The sequence below is a fragment of the Homo sapiens genome, chromosome 2, assembly GCF_000001405.40.
Source record: "Homo sapiens chromosome 2, GRCh38.p14 Primary Assembly".
In the NCBI taxonomy this organism is placed as follows: Eukaryota; Metazoa; Chordata; class Mammalia; order Primates; family Hominidae; genus Homo; species Homo sapiens.
In genome coordinates, this window is record NC_000002.12 from 197,260,734 (window position 1) to 197,283,418 (window position 22,685).

The 22,685-nt window shown below is 42.7% G+C and overlaps 1 protein-coding gene, 1 long non-coding RNA gene and 1 pseudogene across 18 annotated transcripts in view, besides 1 other annotated feature; 1 reads left to right on the plus strand and 2 right to left on the minus strand.

The window, feature by feature from the left end:
- The window catches only part of ANKRD44 (ankyrin repeat domain 44), a 343,767-nt gene that overhangs the window by 293,720 nt on the left and 27,362 nt on the right, over positions 1-22,685 (minus strand). The gene's annotated exons all lie outside the window — the stretch shown is intronic.
- Positions 1-22,685, minus strand: part of ANKRD44-IT1 (ANKRD44 intronic transcript 1) — a 51,662-nt gene that overhangs the window by 9,876 nt on the left and 19,101 nt on the right. The window lies entirely within an intron of this gene.
- On the plus strand, positions 2,324-2,946 carry ATP5MC2P3 (ATP5MC2 pseudogene 3; annotated as a pseudogene).
- Positions 13,674-13,813: an enhancer, noted in NCBI's record as "active region_16923". NCBI's record gives its function as "activates an Ori minimal core promoter by ATAC-STARR-seq in GM12878 lymphoblastoid cells {active_cell/tissue: GM12878}" and the evidence as "EXISTENCE:reporter gene assay evidence [ECO:0000049][PMID:35858748]".

A 22,685-nucleotide genomic window follows, 5' to 3' on the forward strand; every position in this document is an offset into this window, starting at 1 on the left:
TCCAGCACCTACTGTTTCCTGACTTTTTAATGATCGCCATTTTAACTGGTGTGAGATGGTATCTCATTGTGGTTTTGATTTGCATTTCTCTGATGGCCAGTGATGATGAGCATTTTTTCATGTGTTTTTTGGCTGCATAAATGTCTGAGAAGTGTCTGTTCATGTCCTTTGCCCACTTTTTGATGGGGTTGTTTGTTTTTTTCTTGTAAATTTGTTTGAGTTCATTGTAGATTCTGGATATTAGCCCTTTGTCAGATCAGTAGGTTGCAAAAATTTTCTCCCATTCTGTAGGTTGCCTGTTCACTCTGATGGTAGTTTCTTTTGCTGTGCAGAAGCTCTTTAGTTTAATTAGATTCCATTTGTCAACTTTGGCTTTTGTTGCCATTGCTTTTGGTGTTTTAGACATGAAGTCCTTGCCCATGCCTATGTCCTGAATGGTATTGCCTAGGTTTTCTTCTAGGGTTTTTATGGTTTTAGGTCTAACATTTAAGTCTTTAATCCATCTTGAATTAATTTTTGTATAAGGTGTAAGGAAGGGATCCAGTTTCAGCTTTCTACATATGGCTAGCCAGTTTTCCCAGCACCATTTATTAAACAGGGAATCCTTTCCCCATTGCTTGTTTTTGTCAGGTTTGTCAAAGACCAGATAGTTGTAGATATGTGGAATTATTTCTGAGGGCTCTGTTCTGTTCCATTGGTCTATATATCTGTTTTGGTACCAGTACCATGCTGTAACCAAACAATTTTTAAAGGGAAGTTCATCAAATGCTTTTTTGCCAACCAAAAAAAAAAAAAGAAGTAAAAAAGATAGACAATCTTTTCTTAAAAAAAAAAAATGTTTCTTTTCTAATTGTTTTCTTTTCTAAAAACATAAGTCTATATGCCAAAGATAAAGCTTTGATGACTGTACACACCCTGTCTTCTTCCATAGTAGCTGTTATTACTGCTGAGCCTTCTGAAAAGTGTTTAAGGAGTGATAACAAGGGACCCTAGAGAATCTGAGACTTTTCGTTGCTAAACAAAAAATCAGAACCACGCTTGAGATGTTATACTACTAAGACAACAGGAACATTTGTCACATATCAAACAAGAGACAGGGTCTGCTAACTGCAGCGATGGCCAGAAGAGACAGCCTGCAAGTCTAGTTCATCCTTATGAAGAAAACAGGATCTGAAAAAAACTCACACCTCGAAATCATCTCTTCTGTGTGACGGGACAAGAGAAAAACCGAGGGCAAAATGCAAATTCACATGCAACTAGAAATCACAACTAAAAATCTGTAATGTATGATATGTGCTAGGCTTTACAATAAGAGTCTATGAGAAACAGCTTACTTCCTACCAGCCAGGACAAAATATTCGCACACTGTTATACAAACAAATCTTCCTAGCCATACGGTAGTTCCCTCTGATACAGCACTCTGGGCAGAGAGCAATAAACAAAATCCAGACAGGAAGTAGCCAGAAAGAATAAATGGCAGAGCTTTCTGGCAGTATCTTCCTGTAGAGAAACAAGAGACAGCTTTTTATTTTAATAAAATTATCTTAGAACCCAGGCCCTAAAATTACTTATTAATATGATTCCCCACAGAGGTGGGGAAGTTATAAATGAGGTTGTAGTGTTTTGGCTCCACTCCTAGAGTCAACATCATGAAGTGAACTCTATTTACTGGCCACTGACAACTCCAGAATCAAATTCCCATCCAGAATGAACAATTTTGACCTACCCCCTAGTGGGTGCCCTTTCTGAAGCCTTTTCTCATTTTAAGGCATATGGATTTGTGCTAACGGAAATTCCACGTAAAAATTTCAACCTACCAAAATGAGTGCATTCTTTCCACAGAAGAATGTTTGAAGAAACTACAGTTGCTTTTAAGTTAAGATTGACAGGTCAGGCATGGTGGCTCATGCCTGTAATCCCAGCACTTTGGAAGACCGAGGCGGGTGGATCACTTGAGGCCAGGAGTTCAAGACTAATCTGCCCAATATGGTGAAACCCTGTCTCTAATAAAAATATTAAAAATTAGCCAGGCATGGTGGAGCACACCTGTAATTCCAGTTACTTGGGAGGCTGAGACAGGAGAATCGCTTTAACCCAGGAGGCAGAGGTTGCAGTAAGCCGAGATCACGCCACTGCACTCCAGCCTGGGAAACACAGTGAGATTCTTTTAAAAAAACAAAAACAAAAACAAAAAACGTTAGCAATACATTCAAAATTTACTTTCCTAACATGGATATCTAAACAATACATTAAGCAAGATATCATATTGCATGATATGCTCTGGTGCTGTCTGTGAATAATAATGCCTCTTTAAAAGGTGTTGTGTCTTCCCTGCACTGGGCCCAGCTCTCCTGCCACAGCCCCTCACCCCCTGAAAATGTACACCTGCTCCAAGTTCGTCTCCACTCCCTCCTTGGTCAAGAGCGCCTCACAGCTGCTAAGCCATCTGCTACCTGCAGTGGTGCTGAAATGACCAGAGACACTGACAGGTGAGAACCTCAGCAGCTTGGTAGTCTCACGTCCCCTTACCTCACTTGTCCCTGGCCGCAGCTTGGAAAGCAGCGCCATTTCAAGGGACATCGACACAACAGCCAAGTTCATTGGGGCTGGGGCGCCACAGTTGGGGTGGCGGGCTCTGGGGCTGGGATTGCGACTGTGTTTGGGAGCCTCATCATTGATTATGCCAGGAACCCTTCTCTGAAACAACAGCTCTTCTCCTACACCATTCTAGGCTTTACCCTCTAGGAAACCATGGGGCTCTTTTGCCTGATGGTGGCCTTTCTCATCCTCTTCCCCATGTGAAGCAGCTGTCTCCACCTCCCATATTTCTTTCTCCCATGTCTTGTCAGCCCTGTATGTTTCTTTTCCTGCACCTCCCCAGATGGCCTGGGGAACATGGTTGGCTCAGGGTTTGATAGAGGAAAGACAAATACTGTATTAATAAGAAAAAGAAAAAAAAAGGTGTCAAGTTTGAATTTGCCTGAAAGCCACAGCAGTACAGGAACACTGAAGGGCAAATGTCACTATTCCGGTGTAGCAGAGGCTCCTAGCTGTCTCCCCAGGATCCATCTTCTCTCTCCTCTATAGTAACAGAAGCCTTAGCTAGGCACATGGCTGCCTCCCTAAAGATTACATTTCCCAGCCTGCCTTGTAGAAAATTAATTATGTGATTGATTCTGGCTAACGGAATAAGATGTTTTCAACTTCCAGGTCATGTTCTTAAAAGAAAGGAGGCCAGAAGCCCGGTACAGTGGTATGCATCTGTAGTCCCAGCTACACCTGAGGCTGAGGCAGGAGGATCACTCGAGCCTAGGAGCTTGAGACCAGCCTGGGCAACATAGTGAGATCATGTTTCTTATTTTAAAAAGAAAAGAAAAAGGAAAAGGAAAAGAAAGGAGCCTGCCCTCCTCTTTCCTACTTCCTTTTCCCATAGTGATAGAAGATGGAGCAACTATCTTAGCTGAAAGATAGAAGCTATGTGGTAGAGATGGCATAGTAATAAAAGAAAACTTTATCCCCAACATCATGGAGTCATCTTCTCAGTCTTGGTTTGTTTATGCTCAGACCATTATAGATGAGAGTAAAATAAACTTCTGTGTTCTAATTTTGACCAAATAAGTATCCCGACTAATACCTCTCTTGAAGCACTTTGAATTCAACCGCTATCTTTTGTTTTGATAGCCATTCCTTACGCAGAAAGCATCCTGGATTTCTTGAAAGGAATTTCCCAGCATGTTTTCAGCAGGCACTGTCAGAGTTTGATGATAGCATCAACGTTTTTGAGTTTTTAGTATCATTTTTCACAATCCTTGAAGTCAGAGCTGCAACAAATAGTTCATAACATGGGGTGGATTTCCTCCCTTTCCCTCAGGGCATCCTCACAGAAGGAGAAAGTCTTCGGCTCTAGCACCCATCCAGTAAAGGGCTAGTCTTGTCTTCCCCATCTCTGTCTCTAGCCAGAGATGGCAGGATGCTCCTGGGCACTAGAATCCTTCACATCATTTATAATATGGGAACCTTTCTTTAACCTTTTCCAGACTCCTGAGGGTGATTAGAAAATAACATTTCCCAAGTTCAAGAAATCAAAACCCATGACTCTATATCCCTGACAAAATGGACAAAATACTTAGGTCAAAGTTACCAGGTCAGCTTTTATAGGCTCCTTAAAAATTATATGGTTTTCTTTTAAAAGACACTAAAAGTTCTCAATTTTTTAATGGTCATTGCCATTTACAAAATAAAAACGATAGTTGGCTCAATGACAAGGACAGTAAAAGAGTCAGCAGCATCTTGGGCACACTGAGAAAACCCAGTAAACCTCCCACAGAATTCCGTCCTCATAGAAATATTCTGTCCAACATCAACCCTGAATCCCACTCTAGCCAAAAATTCAAATAAGTGCAAAGACATCATGAGCCCATTCCACATGCCAGGTAGCTTTTTCTTATTTTAGACAGAGAAATGCTAACGTACTTCCTTAAGTAACAGCACTTTTTTTCTTTTTTTTTTTTTTTGGTGGGGAGGGGGTGGGGAGACAGAGTCTTCCTCTGTCAGCCAGGCTGAAGTGCAGTGGCATGATCTCAGCTCACTGCAACCTCTGCCTCCTGGGTTCAAGTGATTCTCCTGCCTCAGCCTCCCGAATAGCTGGGACTATAGGGGTGCGTCACAGCACCAGCTAATTTTTTGAATTTTTAGTAGAGACAGGGTTTCACCATGTTGGCCAGGCTGGTCTCGAACTCTTGACCTCAAGTGATCTGCCTGTCTCAGCCTCCCAAAGTGCTGGGATTACAGGTGTGAGCCACCATGCCCGGCCAGTAACAGCTTTTTAAAAATGAAGTTGTGGGCTACCTCTTTTTTTTCTTTACTGTCTCTGCCTTGTCTAATAAAAATGACAGAACATTTTGTTTCATGATTCTCTATCTCCTAAGTGTAGAGTTTCTCATATGCAGAGATCATTATAATTGAGACCATTTATGAACAAAGCATATTAAATGTTACCATGAAAATACTGCAAACCAATGGGTATCACTTTCCTTTAACACTTGAAAAAGCACATAATTCCATGATGTTAAAAAGAGAGACAAAAAGGAACGTTTTTAATAATATTTCAACCCTTTGGCTTTATTAGCAGTATGACATAAGAGTTCTAATCCGAAAAACCTATGTTTTCACAAATTGAAATCGAGTAGTAAAAGCCTTTTGTCACATCCTCCAAGGGCTAAAATGTAAAGCATATGACATAGCCCTATATAAAAATGACCTTCAGTAAAAATAATAAATCAAATGCTCACTCTCCAAGCAGAACGTCACAAACTGAATACCAGGTAAAAGGAAAGCTGTACATGAAGGCGTTGTGCTTTCGTGGGAAAATGATTGCTCATGCAAGCAGAACCTATTGGAGGAGAGGTAGCCGCCTGGCCAGGCTGGAACTCATAGTCTTTCAGGGGTTCAGCTGGAGGTGAAGACTATCTAAAGAATTCGCCACCAAGAACCATCATTTTCAGTCCTTTCTGATTAAGGACCAAAATAAAAGCTCAGTAGCTACTTCATTTTGATAATTTTTAGAAAGCCTCAAATAACAGCTAAGAACTTTCTATAAGGATGCCAGAGGAAAGGGGGAAAAATGGAAAATTACAGTTGAAATTACATCCTTAAGAGAGCCAGTTAAGCCACTAATATACAAACAGATCTCAAGTCTGCTGTCTGACCCAGAAAACCACAGATGAGGAATTCATTTTAGGACTAATTACACAAACATTAAATCACTCAATTTTTCACCCTTTATATTTAAAATTTTGGCATTTTCCTCCCTTTTTCTTTACACGAACTGAATGACAGTCCCTAACCAAAAGACTTGACCTTGGAAATGAGAAATCATCTAGTATGGGCATGCAAGAGTGTCACTAAACTCTGTATAACCTCAGGCAAGTCATTGCACCTTTCTATTCTGCCATTTCCCCACCAGCAAAAAACAAACCGCACTTCCTACTACCTGTTGCGATGAAAAATGAAATACTCTAAGTAAGTCAAGCACCTCAGAGGCTTTCAATGTGTTTTATGACATTCATAGAGTCAGTTTTGAGCATCTGAGAAATAATCTCTTCCATTTAATCTTCTATTCACAATATAGAAAAATGTCCTATACGGTCTGTTAAAAATAATAAAGGCAAAAAGCTTGACCGTCTCAGGTCATGGAGAATTACTTTCTCTGAAAAGCCCAGTCTTCTAGATTAATATCCAAAAGGACAGGGATTTTGTCTGTTTTGCTCTGTAACATATTCTCAGCACCTAGAACAATGCCACATCAAGGCATTCATTAAATATTAGATGAATGAATGAATAAAGGGAATAAAGGTTTAGCCTGAATAAACATGGAAATCTTTTTATTCTAGCTATTTTAGGTAGACATCTTAAAATGTATAGTAGCATTCTTCCTTACCATCTTGAGAAAATTATAAGGACATTTTGCAGATGACTAAGGGTCGCCATCATGCACATTCTGTATTTCAAGGATGCTCTCAGTGTCTTTTAAAATGCTAAAATCACTCCAGAATCTTTAATGTAATTTTTCAGCTCCTTTATGCATTTATCATTTTTCCCATCCTCCTCCACCTTTCTAATAGGTTGTCATTTCTCCCTATTGTGAACAATTGGCTGTTGCTAATTTATTGTGCACGTAAAAGCCAATTAGCCATGTGTCTAAAGTAAGAGTACCTGCCTCTGAGGGCCTAAGGCCTTCTCCTAAGAGGAAAAAATATGATCCTTAGACTTTGCCACATCTATGTTTGGCTCCATTTTTTAATGTTTCTTGATTCTCCACCACGTTCTAGATAGGTAAAAGGCCAGATAGCCAAGTTCCAAATAAGTGTACCCAATCAATTCATGCTGAAATGACATGCTGTGGTACTAAGAGGCACTTGCTCCATGAGACAGGGTATCTGAAAACAATGGCTCCAGATAATGCTGGTTATCTAAGTAAGCAGCTGTTTCAATGCTAGAGTAGGGTTGTCCAAGACAAAGCACCAGGAGTGGAGGGAAGACTGTCTCTCCGTGCTGACTGTCCAAGGGAAGAAGCCATTCCAGAGGAGCTGGGGTCGGGGTAAGACACCAAGGCAGGAACTGAGAAAGTCACCAGAATCAGGGTCAAGGTAGAAATCACAACTTGGGAACAAAGCCAAAGCCCAGTCTCCCAACAAGGGACACAAAGGCAAGGCCAGACCTGACTTGACACAGAGTTTCAGGGTCAGGCTGGAGCTCCTTAAATCCTTGGATCCAGAATGGGATCTCCAGGAAGGAGCCAAATGTCTTAGATTGTGGCAAGGCTGAGGAACTCAGCACAGGTTTTACAATAGAAAAAGAAGGGCACAGCATGGCCAACTACCTCCTTCACCATGGCCCAAGGGCATCACAATGGGAAGGATAAGGTGAGGGATACCCCAGAAGCTGTGGAGCTGATCTATGAAGCCCTTCTATGCCCAGCTTCAGCACATGTGCCATGAAAATCTATCAGTCTTGTTAATAGCAAAGGTAGAAAGAGTGGTTCAGGAAGATAAATCTGGAGAAAGAAGCATCTGAGATGCACTGGGGCACGGGAAATAGGAGGCAAAGAGATGACAAGTTATCCAAGAACAATGTGATGAAGGCTCTGACAATTTCCAACTTTGGGTAAGAAAAGAGAGAAACTATCATTTTTTGTGACTTTCTGTGAACCAAGCACAATGCTGGCATTCTTCACATTCGTTATCTCATTTATTCCTCACTTTAAGTCTGCAAGAGAAGTATACTGTTCCCATTTTATAGGTGAGGAAATTAAAATCCAGAGAGGAAAGGAATTGTAGTCACATGGCGTGGATGACAGAGATGCGATTCACTCTGGAATGATCTGATTCCAAAAGCTGATTCCACTTGCACCAGCCGATACCCAGGTGACTTTTTTAAAATGGAAGAATGCGGTGAATGGGATAAGGAGGGGGTCTGTATGTCTGCATGCATCTGCTTTTCATGGGCTTAAGGAATCAGCCTGGACTGAGACCTTCCTCATATGCCCTGCCTTCACTCCGCAGAACTGGGAATCCATCAGACTGGAGGCTTTCATCCCTAAGATGCCTCCCTAACACTGGGGAAATCATGTTTTAAAATGTTTTTTTAAATTGTAATGATCTAAAGCTACCTATCTAATCTGTGTGTTGATTGCTCAGCGTTCTTAAATCAGGATGTATCTCGTGGAACCTTAGATTACAGCTGGTTTGGGGAAAAATATGACTCAGATAAAATAAGAAATGCATACTCAAAAAAAGTCCAACATTTCCATGAAAAGCCATTAAGCTTTGGGGTGCTGGTAATGTGTTTTTGTTTTTGTTTTTGATCTGGTTGCTACTCATAGAGTGTATTCATGAAGATATATACTTATTAAATGTGCTCTCTTCCACATGTATAGTATGCTTCAAAAAAGTTTTTTAACTGCCAGAGCAGAGTAACATTTTATCCCTGCCCTGTTCCAGTGTAAACTGGCCTTTTATAAATAAGCAATAAAGCAGGGAAAGTTTGAATATGGAGATAGGAGCAGTAAGGCTCCTCTCTCCTAATGGAGATCCACTAAGAGAAGCACTCTACTCATAACCAGAAGGCTGTTGCCTTGGAAACGGGAGCTGTAACTACTGCAATCACACCTCAGGAGCAAAGATGGCCAAGATCTATTTCAATTCTTAGATATCTCGAGGAACCGCAGATGACTGTAACTATGGAAGATAGCCAATCTGTAGTAATGAAGAAGCGCATGCTGGAGTTAGAAAGGCTGCAATTGAGAAAGGAAAAGAGGGGGCAGGGGAAGAAGGAGAAGATAGAATTGAAGTATAACAAGGAAAGCCTAATCCAAGAACTGCAGAGCTGAGGGGCTCTTGGTGGCATTTCTTTAAGCCATGCCACCCTCTAGTTTATTGCCCACCTACTACCTGCCAAACCATGCTAGGTACTGGGAGGACAAAGCCAGGAAAATACACACTCAAAGTGGCCCATGGGAGGTATAAGTACCCTGGGACCAATTAACCTCAGTGTGCAAAATGGGTACAGGAGGCTTCGGAGAGACAGTGGCATTTTTAAGCTGGAACTCAAAGAACATGTAGGAATTTCCCAGGCAGAGAAGACTGAGGAGAGACATCTCAGACAAAGGGAGGTGCAAAGGGCAGAGGCATGAAACAGCATGTTCTGTTTTTCAGCAGGGTGGCTACCTGCAATTCTGGATAGGACACTTCCATGTCTGGTAGATTGTCCCACACACTGCAGGACATTTGCTGTCTCAGACCCCACCCACTCATTGCTGGCAGCAACTCCCAGTCATGACAACAGCTAAAGTAATGCCCCTCCCACATTTCCAAATGTCCTCAAGGATGGGGGGATGCTATTGTTCCCAGTTAAGAAGCCTGAGAACCTAGGGGAACAGATGTGTGGCTGGAGCAGGGATTGGGGGACAGGGGTGGGAGGTGAGGATGAGAGTGCAGGTAAAGATCAGAGTTAAGGCCTTGCACATGCCACTCGGGAGTCAGACTCTGTGCCAGATGTGGAGGAGAGAGAACAGACTCTAAAGCAATTATGGAGGAGGTCAAACTTATAAGACTTGGCAACTCATGAGATCTGAGGAGGTGGGGAAGAAGAAAGAATGAAAGAATAAAGAATAATCCCCACAGTTTCCAGCTTGAACAACTGAGTAAACATTCATGGCACCAAGCAAAGTGACAAATATAGGAGTAAGAGCAGCTTTGGACGGGGATGGAAAGGTAAGGTGGAAAATGAGTCTGAAGCCCTTCAGGGACATCCAGGTGGAATTTCTAAGAAGTAATAAACAGCAGACTAAACGCAGAGGAGAGACATCTGGGTCAAAGGTAAAAGAAACCTTAGCATTTAATTGTAGGCAGTGTCTGAGCCATTTCCCAAGGGCCTCCAGTCTCACTAGGAAAGTCAGGGAAAGGGAGAGCTGGAGACGAGGAAGCTGTAGCACTGGAGCTGGGCATAACAAACAGGAGCCAATATGGCAGAAAGTGGGTACCGGCAGGCAGGAATGGAGGGAGCGGAGCCAGCTGGCAAGGTGCAGATGAGCAGACCAAGGAAGAGTGGCTGAAAGCTCATGGTACCCCACACTGGTGTCCACAACCAGCCTTTCTGTGGATCTTGGCACACATCACTACAGTGGCTTTAGAAAATAATCTTCCATCTCAACCCAGGTCATACACATATATACACACACCAGGGCTGGCTCCATGAGCAAGCAGACCGTGCAGCTGCCCAGGGACCTGTGCTGGGAAGAGCCGCATTCTTGGTTAAATGCTCTGCTACTGCCATCTTGAAATTCTTAAAGATTTTTTAACAAGGAGTCTTGCATTTTCATGTTGCACTAGATCCCACAAATTGAGGCTGGTCTGGACACACAAAAACATAGCCTTAACAAAAGTTTCATGAAACCATATCTATCTGCTATGGTCTGAATGTTTGTGTGCACCCTCAAAATCCATATGTTAAAACCGAATTCCCAATAATATTAAGAGGTGAGGCCTTTAGGATGGGATTAGTGCCCTTATAAAACAGGCCTGAGGGAGCTTGTTCCTTCTACCATGTGAGGACTGTGCAAGAAGGCACCATCTACAATGCAGAGAGTGGGCCCTCAGCAGACACTGAATCTGCTGGTGCCATGATCTTGAACTTTCCAACTTACAGAACTGTGAGCAATAAATTTCTGTTGTTTATAAATTACCCAGTCTAAGCTATTGTGCTATAGAATCCTTAACAGACTGACATTATCTTACTAAATGTGATATAAAATTATATTCTCTGTTCTATTTTTTAATGTAGCCATAGCCCATTAAATTCACAATCCACTAATGCATTGCAAATCAGGTTTTTTTGTTGTTTGTTGGTTGCTTTGTTTTTGAGACAGGGTCTCGCTCTGTTGCCCAGGCTGGAGTGCAGCCTCAACCTCCTGGGCTCAAGTGATCCTTCTACCTCAACCTCCCTAGTAGCTGAGACTACAGGTGCATACCACCATTTTTTAAATTTTTTGTAGAGATGGAGTTTCACCATGTTGCCCAGGCTGGTCATGAACTCCTGGGCTCAAGCGATCTGCCTGCCTTGGCCTCCCAAAGTGCTGGGATTACAGGCATGAGCCAGCACGCCCAGCCCAAGGTTTTAAAACTGTCTTAGAGGGCTGCTATTGCCTGAATGTTTGTCCCCAACAAAATTCATATGTTGAAATTATATCGCCAAAGTGATAGTATTAGAAGTTGGAGCCTTTGGGAGGGAATTAGAGATTACGACCCTTATAAAAGAAACTGCAGAGAGCTGGCTAGCTCCTTCCATCATGTGAGATCGAGATCACAACAAGAAGTCTGCAGCCTGCAACTAGAAGAGCACCCTTATCAGAACCTTACTAGGCTGGCACCCCGATCTGGGAATTCCTAGCCTCCTGAACTGGGAGAAATAAATTTCTATTGTTTTATTTGTTTGTTTGGTATTTTGTTTTTGTTTTTGTTTTTTGAGATGGAGTCTCACTCTGTCACCCAGGCTGGAGTGCAGTGACACGATCTCAGCTCACTGCAACCTCCGCCTCCCGGGTTCAAGCAATTTCCTGCCTCAGCCTCCTAAGTAGCTGGGACTACAGGCACGTGCCACCACGCCCAGCTAATTTTTGTACTTTTAGTAGAGATAGGGTTTCACCATGTTGGTCAGGCTGGTCTTGAACTCCTGACCTTGTGATCCGCCCGCCTTGGCCTCCCAAAGTGCTGGGATTACAGGCGTGAGCCAATGCGCCTGGCCAATTTCTATCGTTTATAAGCCACCCAGTTGATATTTTGTTTTAGCAGCCCAAATGGACTAATACAATGGGGTAAGCCAAGACTAAAAAGTTTGTTTTGTTTTGTTTGGAGAGTGGAGCCCTTAAAGTGGAATTGCTGCCATTATGAAATAGACCCAGAGAGCTCCCTCACCCCTTCCATCATGTGAGGACGCAGCAGGAAGACAGACATCTATGAACCAGGAATTGGACCCTCACCAGACACCAAATCTGGTCAGCGCCTTGACAGCAGCCTCCAGAACTGTGAGAAATAAATTCCTGTTGTTTATGGGCCACCCAGTCCACGGTATTCTGTTGGAAGCACCAAAGCAGACTAAGACACCCTCCTCCCACACAAAAAATAAACTAACTTTAATTTGGGTTATAAATAACTATATATTAAGTTGACTTATAAATGATTAGTTGACATCAAGTTAGGTCTTATAGGTATTTGATTGATTAAATACACATTAACTTAGATTTTGCTATTTTCTTTCAGTATTCAAAGAAGCCAATACAAACTTTTTTTTCTAATTTCAGACATATTTTGGGGCCATTGAAAAGCTCAAAGGCCCGAGGCCCAAGGTTCCTAATTCCTCAGTATTCACCAGGCCTGCATCCTCTGGGACTGAAGGAAAGAAGTCGCAGAGTGAAAGAGACTGAAGAAAGATGAGGAGAAATTTGTCAGGACATTTAAGAAGCCATGGATTCTGATAGACAACAAGCTCCTACAAACTGGTCAGAAGAGGATAGTTAACCCGATTTTTTTAACATCAAATTAAATGAATAAGCAATTCAAAGAAAAGAAAGATGCAAAAGGTCAATGAGCATATTAAAAAGGTGTCTGGGAAATATCCATTTTCACATAGCAGATTGGCAAAAACAGTCATTCCCATTTGATGTGCTAAAAAGCCAAAATTATTCTAACACACAGTCGCCAAAATGCTTTGCCTTTGATTAAAGATAGCACTTCCCAGTGGGGGATCTAGAAATGGTTTGAACCCTTTTTCAATAGGCCACTGAGAGCCTAAGCTGAAGCTGCCCAGGAAAAAGAGAGGAAGAGGGCGCAGGGCCTAGGAGCCAGGCCAGCACCTGCGGCCTGGGCTTCCTGGAGTACATATCAGATTCCCGAGGCAGCTGCCAGCTGGCTGGTTCACCCACAAACACCAGTTGGCTGGAGCCTGGGAAGTGATACCTTGAAGGCCTAAGGCCCTAAATCAAATGTCCTTGTCTATGCTAGGAACAACCTATAAGGAAAATCTTATCACAAAACAAGCAGCTCTCAGGCATGTCAAGGATTTTAAAAATTAATTCCTTAAGCTGATCCAGTGATAAAAGCTGTGAATAAAAGGATTCAGATGTTTCCACCTCATCATGCTAATCTACCTGTAAGCTAGTCAACCAACCACAAAAAAAAAAAAAAAAAAAAATATATATATATATATATATATATATATATATATATATATATATATATGAATCAGACAGGCTTTTGAGCAGCTCAGTTGCCCCACTGCAGCATGGAGTATGTCACTTCACACCAACCAACCAAATGACTGAATGAATGAATGAGAACTGTCAAGTCCATGTGGACATCACTAAGGGGACCTGGCACTTAGAAGTCATGTTCCTGTTCTCACTGAGACACTAACTAGTTAGGTAATTAAATCAGGGAAGTTAGTGAAAATTCTCTCAGCCTCAGTTTCCTCATCTATAAAATGGGAATGATAACTATACCCACCTCTTAGGGTTGCTCTGAGGCACAGTGAGGGTCTCTATGAAAGCCTATGGCAGACTGAAATGACCTCTCTTCAGATAAAGGCTTGCCGCCCAGCTGTGCAGAGTGTGGTCAGCACATGGCCTCCAGCTGCCAGCTCCTTCAGGGTCTGCCCCTGCTGCAGAGAGCCACCTCACCTGAGATCACACCATTCCTGTGACAACCTGCCTGTAACTGAGAGGTAAGGATATAAAGGCCCACGATGGCCCAAAGCAGGACACGGTGACTGCACTCACTCACTCCAGGGCTTCCTGCCAGGTGTGCTGAGGCCTTTTCAACTTTTCCCTCGGCCCAGTCCTGCGTCCTTCCCTTCCTACATGTTGGTCCCTAACGAGCATCTCACACCCCAGATTCCATCTTAGCATCTTCTTCTAGAGAACCCAACCTGCACCAAAGCCCTTTTTCAGTTTTAAGTACTTTAGGGTTTCTTTAATGGGACAAAGAACAGAGGCCAATTCTGGTTTAGAAAAAAAATCACACTCAGTCTGGCATGGTGGCTTACACCTTGTAATCCTAGCACTTTGGGAGGCCAAGGTGTGAGGATTGCTTAAGGCCAGGAGTTCAGGATCAGCCTGGGCAATATAGAGAAACCCCATCTCTATGAAAAAAAAACAAAAACAAAAATTAGCCAGGTGTGGTGGCATGCACCTGTAGTCCCAGCTACTTGGGAGGCTGTGGTAGGAGGACTGCTTGAATCTGACATTTTGAATTTTGAGGCTACAGTGAGCTGTGATTGTACCATGACACTCCAGCCTGGGTGACAGACTGGGACTTTGTCTCTTTTCTCTTTTTTTTTTGGAGACAGACTCTCGCTCTGTCACCCAGGCTGGAGTGCAGTGGTAGTGGTGTAATCACAGCTCATTGCAGCCTCAACCTCGCGGGCTCAAGCAGTCCTCCCACCTCAGCCTCCTAAGTATCTGAGACTACAGGCACATGCCACTACACCCAACTAATATGTGGATTTTTTGTTGAGACAAGGTCTCACTATGTTGCCCAGGCTGGTCTTGAACTCCTGGGCTCAAGAGATCCTCCCACTTCAGCCTCCCAAAGTGCTGCGATTACAGGCATAAGCCACTGTGCCCAGGTGACCCAGTCTCTTCAAAAAAAAAAAAAAAAAAAAAATACAACACGCACTCATAAAATTTTAGAAGGGGGGATCCATGCCATTTACTTCAAGTATTCAAAGACTGGTAGTTCATTCATTTACTTATTTAACAAATATGTACAGAGCACCATGTTGGGGGGGTGGGCAACCTGCTGGGACCACAAGGGCTCTGTACTGATGATCATTTAGGGCTATTGCACTTTCTATGTCCACAGCAGTGGTTCTCAGCGGGGTAGCACTGCCCCTACAGGCTTTGGAACCGGGTTGGGGGCTTTTGGTCGTTACAATGATTACAGGGCTCTGCTGGCATATGGGGGGTGGGAGCAGGAACGCTACAGTCCTACAGTGCTCTAGAAAATTTCTTTTCATGGTGGATTGGCCCACATCCCACATGATTTTCATAAAAGAGGGGGAAAGAGTTTATATAATTATCTAAGTCTAGATCTTAACTATGCATTTCATAAAATATTGTTTAGTTTTAAATACACTAAATTCTCTAGGAATTTGATTACCCTATAAATTGAGGGAAGGATGTAATGTATTTTGTTCAGAACTTTACTAGCCGGGCGCAGTGGCTCACGCCTGTAATCCCAGCACTTTGGGAGGCCAAGGTGGGCAAATCACCTGAGGTCAGGAGTTCGAGACCAGCCTGGCCAACATGGTGAAACCCTGTCTCTAGTAAAAATAAAAAATTAGCCAGGCATGGTGGCACGCACCTGTAATCCCAGCTACTTGGGAGGCTGAAGCAGGAGAATCACTTGAACCTGGGAGGTAGAAGTTGCAGGGGGCTGAAATCATGCCACCGCACTCCAGCATGAGCAAAAAGAGCGAAACTTGGTCTCAAAAAAAAAAAAAAAAAAAGGAAAATTAAAAAAAGAACTTTGCTAAGAGTTTTTTACACCATCTCTAAAAATGATGACTCTTACAGAAATGACATTCATGATTAATGAGACATCTCTATAACACACCTGTATTGCTCTATATTTATAGTTGTCATATTCTTAGTGATAAACAAGAAAAGACTTTTTTGCCCTTATTTCTAGGGTTATATATAAGAGTACTAATATATAACTAAAACTATTCAGCTGAATATTTCTTAAATACAAACTGATTTATGAGCAAAAATGTAACTATTTCATTAGGTCTTCAATATAGCTGTCCCCATATTGAAATACATGCTACTTTATTATAAATTATTTTCATGTTGTTTCTCCTTTATATTATAATTAGAGTATTACATTGATTTATTTTTAAATATTGTGTGTGAGTTCTATTATCTGTGAGTTTCCATTTCAGGAAGAGGATGTTACAAAATATATAAAAGAGGATGCTGGGTTTGATAAGGTTGGAAACCACTGCCTTATAGAACTGATTCTAAAACTGGGGTCTGAGGCCCACCCACAGCACAAATACCTGTGGCATTCATAAAAAATCCAGGTGCCTAGGCTCCAGCCTGTCTCATAAGGATGCTCTCTGGGGCTAGAACCCAGGAATTTTTTTTTTTTTTTTTTTGAGATGGAGTCTCGCTCTGTTGCCCAGGCTGGAGTACAGCGGCGCAATCTCGGCTCACTGCAAGCTCTGCCTCCCACGTTCACGCCATTCTCCTGCCTCAGCCTCCCAAGTAGCTGGGACTACAGGTGCCTGCCACCAAGGCCAGCTAATTTTTTGTATTTTTAGTAGAGACGGGGTTTTACTGCATTAGCCAGGATGGTCTCAATCTCCTGACCTTGTGATTGGCCCACCTCGGCCTCCCAAAGGAATCTATTTTTCAAAGCTCCTCAAGTGATATTGATCCTCTTCTCGGTTTGGTACCCACAAGTATAGAGGACACGGAGTGCACCAAGCCCTTCCCTAGCCTAGAGGTGCTCAGAGTCTCAAAGGGAAGGTAAAATTTTAACCATCATGTCAGGCACATAACTGTTAAGTGCTAGAAAGAAATACCAGTGAAGTGCTATGGGAATTCAAGAAAGGAACAGCTGGGCTGGAGGAGGTGTCTTGCAAAGGGTGCATTCCAGTGAGGATCTGGAAGACAGGGAGTAAGAGCCTCATCTCTGGAGACCGTGACTGCAGAGGCCTTTACATACATTATCTCCATCCAAATTCAAAGCTACTGTCTGGGATAAATACCACTCCTATCCAGTCTTTCAGAATAATGAGGCCTAAAGAAGCAGAATAATTTCACTCAAGGTTTTAAACTTAGGCCCTGCAGTCCCAGATGATAGAGCTTAACCACGCAGCTAATACTCAAGCCTTGACCAGAGGGAAACAGGTAGGGGTGGTATGGAAGAGGTCCCAAGGAGTTTCAAGACATAGAATTTCTATCCAAAGCTTCACTTCCATCTTGCTATTAGCGCTGTCACCAGCATTCAGGAGGACAAGAGGAAATTATCATAATTAGAAGGGACTCTGAGCATGTATCATTCACATATGGCTGGAAAGACTCAAGGATGAGAATAGGCAGTTAGGAGTCACTGACGCTAATGAGCCACAAATCATAGAAAAGTAACTTAATTGAGACAACAGCAAAATGAGAGGAGGCTCAGAATTAGGAGCTCTCACACTGCTTCGACAGTTCTAGTAACAGCGTAAAGCAGTTTCTGCTTAATCAATTCCCACCTAATCAGAGAGCCATCTTAACGCAGCATCTCCCAAGGCAGCAAATTAGCTAATAGTGAGTGACTGCAGCAATCAGGACAGTATCAGTGGGGACGGGAGGGATGGAAATATGCTAGGAAGAAAGGCAATTGGCTGGTGCTAAGGGGTTAAGGGGTGTTTAACTGGCTGTTAAATTGCAAAGTGCTAAGCTTCTGTGTTCTAATGCAGAAAGAGTTAACAATGAATAGAAATAAAGATGAAATCCATCTTTTTTTCTGTTTTTTTTATTCTGCATCCTAAATGTGCATCCAGGTAGTTACAAAACTTACTTTTTGTTTGTTTTGTTTTGACAGAGTCTTGCTCTGTCGCCCAGGCTGGAGTGCAGTGGTGTGATCTCGGCTCACTGCAACCTCCACCTCCCGGGTTCAAGCAATTCTCCTGCCTCAGCCTCCCGAGTAGCTGGGACTACAGGCACGCACCACCACGCCCGGTTAATTTTTGTATTTTTAGTAGAGACGGGGTTTCACCATGCTGGTCTCAAACTGCTGGCCTCAACCTCAGCCTCCCAAAGTTCTGGGATTTCAGGCATGGGCCACTGCGCCCATCCACAAAACTCACTTTTATCCCTACAAAGGTAAAGATGGAGGCTCTTTACACCCATGTTACAGGCCACAAGGTCTTATTGGACAGTAAGACCAAAAGACCTCCCTACCCACTTTCTCTTCCCCACCACCCCTTTCCTTTCTCTCATTGCGACACGTAGGTCGCCAGCAAGCAAGTGCCTCAAATCTCTGAGGCAGAGACTTTTCGCTTTGGAAACATTTGGAGCAGAAACAGGCGGTGTGGTCTGGAGCAAACATGCAAGAGAAGAAAATACCAAGAAGTCAGAGAAGAATCCCTCCACGTGGAATTCTCATTTGCATTTTGTGCAGTCAGCAGTTCTCCAGTTTTTCCACATCCTTTCAAAGGTTGGGCTCTCATGTGTTGTGAGAAGGTCAGACTAAGCGGGTTTTTCTTATGGTTTCAGGCTGGATAATATTTCATAACCACATGATTGCAGGGCTAAGCTTAGCAGTGCTGTATTTAAGAGTGGATCGCATATCCATCATTCAGTCCACATTTCAAAGACTGATAAAATATTGCCCCTGAAGATTTAAGAGATGCTGGTGATAGAACATTTCCCTCTCCTAACTAATAAAACTGTGAGGGTCAGTTCCTAATACAATACCAGGGAGCCTACCTGTATACAATAAAACGTCATTTGTCCTTGGAAGATGGCCTGAGAAACAGCATCACGCAGTCCAGGCAGTAAACAAGCCATTGAGTCTCTATATACATCATGGTTAGATTATTCATCCTAAAACACCACTTGGCACACATCACAACCTCTGATCAAAAGTCGTCATGGCTCCCCACGGTCACAAGATAAACCCCAAACTCCTTAGCGGGTTTTCACAAACTGGAACTCCACAAACTGGCACTGTCCATTCTCTCCCATCCAATCTCCCACTGTTGCCCATACACACCCTCTGCTCCAGCCAAGCTGCTCGCTTCACTGTTCCTGGAAGCCCTTTGCAAGGCTTCCTTTTTCTCTCTTCCCTTGCTGACCTCTGCTCCCAAATGCACCCTTCCTCCTTCTTCCTAGTTTGTCCTACTACGAGACATTTAAAAACCAACTCAAATCCCATGTCCTCCATAAAGCCACCTTTCAGAAAGCTTCCTGCCTGGATGTGCTCACTCTCCTGCACTCCAATGAGAGCCATCAGCTGGCACCCTAAACACAGACCGCCCTGCATTGGGATTGATTTATTTCCATGCTTCCCACCCCACCCAGTTGGACCATAAAGTTCCTGGGTACAGTGTCTTGTCCTGGCTTCCCAGAATCTCACCTCTTCGCCTCACAGCAGATGCTCTGCAAAGCTTTGTTGTCATCATTTTTGAGCCACCACTACTATAAGAATTTCGTCCTCCCTAGTATTAATGGTTTATGAGACACTTCTGCCTTTAAACCACCTTATCTCTCTCTTTCTGTCCAATCTCTCTTTGAGCTCGGCGTGTGACAGGACTGCCAGTTCATTCTGTCCCTACTGCTGTCACATACACCTAAGAGTGTTTAACAGAAAAATCCTAAGAGGTGATTGCAAGGTCGGAAAATCACCTTAAGCCCCCCGGGGCCATGTGCAGTCTACAGACAGGAAATAGGCAACAGGAGAATGAAATTAGCATAAAGAAAAAAGGGGCTATGGCTCCTCTCCACCCAAGTCAGCAACACCTACCAGAAACAACAAAGAAAGCATCTGGATAAAGCATTGGCAAGCATTGCTGAGGTCGGGAAACTGCTCGTAACAAAAGCACAAAGGGTTTGCAAAAGGCAGCTCCCCTTCCCTTCCCAAATTACCAAAAGCTCAACAAGAAAACGAGCAGAGTTTTTGCTCTAAAAACATCTGTTTTCAGTTACCTGTGCCTGAACCACAAACTTAACAGAGAAACACAGAGATCCCAAGCTGACTCCGTGGTCTAAGATCTGTCAGGACAAATTATGTGGAGATGGAGGAGCCAAGTGTGGGATGCTTGAGCAACCGCTGTACAATAGCCACGGTCTTGATAAGCCTCGCGGATGAGATTTTGGCGGACTAGGGATTGTACTACTGAACTTGATTGCTGAAAATGTAAAAGCCCATCAAAGAGTATTATTACCCCTTGATAAACCAGCTACCCACAGTGGTCAATTACTAATGAACAGACCTCTTTCACCAATTAAAGTCACATGTTACCACTCAATTCCCAACATATTTAGTCTTTTTCTCCCAGTAGTCCATCTCACTACTGTCTAGCTAAACCTCTCCAACTAAGATGTTGTTTGTCTTTACTTAAAAAACAGTCTTTCTGGAGTCTGGTCAGTGGGGCCCAAAAAAGAAAATAAAATAAAAATAATTTTTAAAATAAACAGTCTTTCACTAGAATGTTCTTTATATTAAAATCTTAAGCTCTGCTTTTTTTTTTTGAGATATGTCTTGCTCTGTTAACCTGCCAGAGTCCTGACTGACCTTCATTTGTTCATTCTCCTTGTGCAGTTCTTCAATGTTCTTTGCAAATGGATTTCACTAAAGTGAGTTCTGTCTATTAATGTCAGTAGGTATAAATGCCTGTCCATCTTTGGAGGGACTTTGGGAGATGATCTTATACCAAATGAACATGTTACATGCCTGTTGATAGGAGGCCTGATGCTTTATTTTCTCTAGAAAAAATAGATATTTCAATATTGTAAATTCCATTAAGGCATCCTGCTCCCCACCTCCTGATCCTCCATCCCCCACCCCCCATCACCAACAAGCTTTAGTTTCCCTAACCTCTCAATCTGGCAAAGAAACAACATCCCAGACCTTTTTGGTAGGTAGTTGTCCAACTCTCTGTCCATTTTCTTCTTGGCAAAATGGGAGTAACTTAGCTTAAACTGAAAAAACATCGTCAGTCCTTGTATAAGGCATAAGTCCCTGAGTAATTTACATCATATCTCCTTTTTGGGCCTGGTAATTTACAAAATCAGCAACAGGGAGTAAAGTACCTCTTTTGATGAATCTATCAGCAGATGTGTTTGGAAAATGAGGAAATGATGTTGCTAACTTGCCAACTGTATTTTGGCAGATAATGTAATAAGGTGACGTTTACTGCATTTCCTCTATTAAAGGAATACAGGCAAATTTTTTCCTTGGAATTAAAAATCTATATATTACCCTAAAATCCTCCCAGAAATTTAAAACTGCTCCTTTCTTGCTTATAACTTTCCCTCATTTTCTTCCCAGCAGTGGAAGAGAAGTTTAAATCTTGTTTAAATCCACAGTGAACTTTTTATATTGTGAGGCTGGTTGGTAGGTGTTAATGTAAAATTAGTGTTCTGTCTGAAGCCACGTAAGATGATTCTGGTATAAATATGGTAACTGCAGGACAGCCGTGGTGGCTCACACCTGTAATCCCAGCACTTTGGGAGGCCGAGGCGGGCAGATCACGAGGTCAGGAGATAGAGACCATCCTGGCTAACAAGGTGAAACCCCGTCTCTACTAAAAATACAGAAAATTAACCAGGCATGGTGGTGGGCACCTGTAGTCCCAGCTACTCGGGAGGCTGAGGCAAGAGAATGGCGTGAACCTGGGAGGCAGAGCCTGCAGTGAGCGGAGATCATGCCACTACACTCCAGCCTGGGTGACACAGCAAGACTCTGTCTCAAAAAAATATATATATATAGTAACTACAGTGTCTACTGTGTTTTGCCATTATGTTTTCTTTTTTTTTTTCTTGGAGTCTTTGGAGAAAGATTAAAAGGCTTGGTGGCGTATGTATGTCTTGAATGCCAGACTGAGAAGTTTATAGTAACAGGCTGGTCTGAGAGGCGGTGTGTGTTTAAGTGTTTGAAGATGAGCCTGGCATTTGGATATAAGGTACTTTAGAGAGCTCCAGTTGGGGCTGTTGGAATGGTTTTGATGTGGTGTGATGAGGACTTAGGAGTCTATGGCAGATCTGAGGGCCACCCTGGGATGTTGAGAGGTGAAACAGAGAAGATGCTTGAAGTTGGGGATTTTATTTTATTTTTTTGAGACAGGGTCTTTCCATACTACAGTGTTCTTTATACTAAAAACTTTAATCCCTCCAGGCCGGGTGTGGTGGCTCACACTTGTAATCCCAGAACTTTGGGAGGCCAAGACGAGCAGATCACCTGAGGCCAGGAGTTCGGGACCAGCCTGGCCAACATGGCGAAACCCCATCTCTACTAAAAATACAAAAATTGGCCAGCATAATGACATGTGCCTGTAATCCCGGGTACTCAGGAGGCTGAGGCAGGAGGATCATTTGAATCCGGGAGGTGTCCTCTCTACCTTAGTAGGCACAGAGTACACTGTTATGAATTTAAAATATACCAGCCTGTGGATTATTACTTGGCCAGTGAACTAATGGTATTCTATATCTGTTCAGAAACTTGTATTTTAAATTCCTTTAGAAGAGTCTCTGGAAGAGTTTTTAAGAGAAGAGAACATCATAGGAATGCTTTTATAGATATGTATGTTTGTATAAGCTTCTAAGCCTCACTTAGATTCTCACTGACCCACAGGATAGGTTAGTTTCTCTCACCAGGATGTGGAGGCTGGAGAGAGAAGTTGATGTCTCTGAGTTTGGTTACCCTTGTCCAGCACAAGACAAGTGACACCATACTGTACTGGTTATATTTTATTATAGCAAAACCTATTAAATTTTTTAAAGCCCATTATGATAAAATCCCCTAGGGACAAACAAAATGGAATGTAATTCATTTTTCAACCAATAAATATTTATTGAGTTCTATTAACCTTCATGCCAGTCTCTCGGCAGAGCCCCTGGATACATCTTTTAATACCTG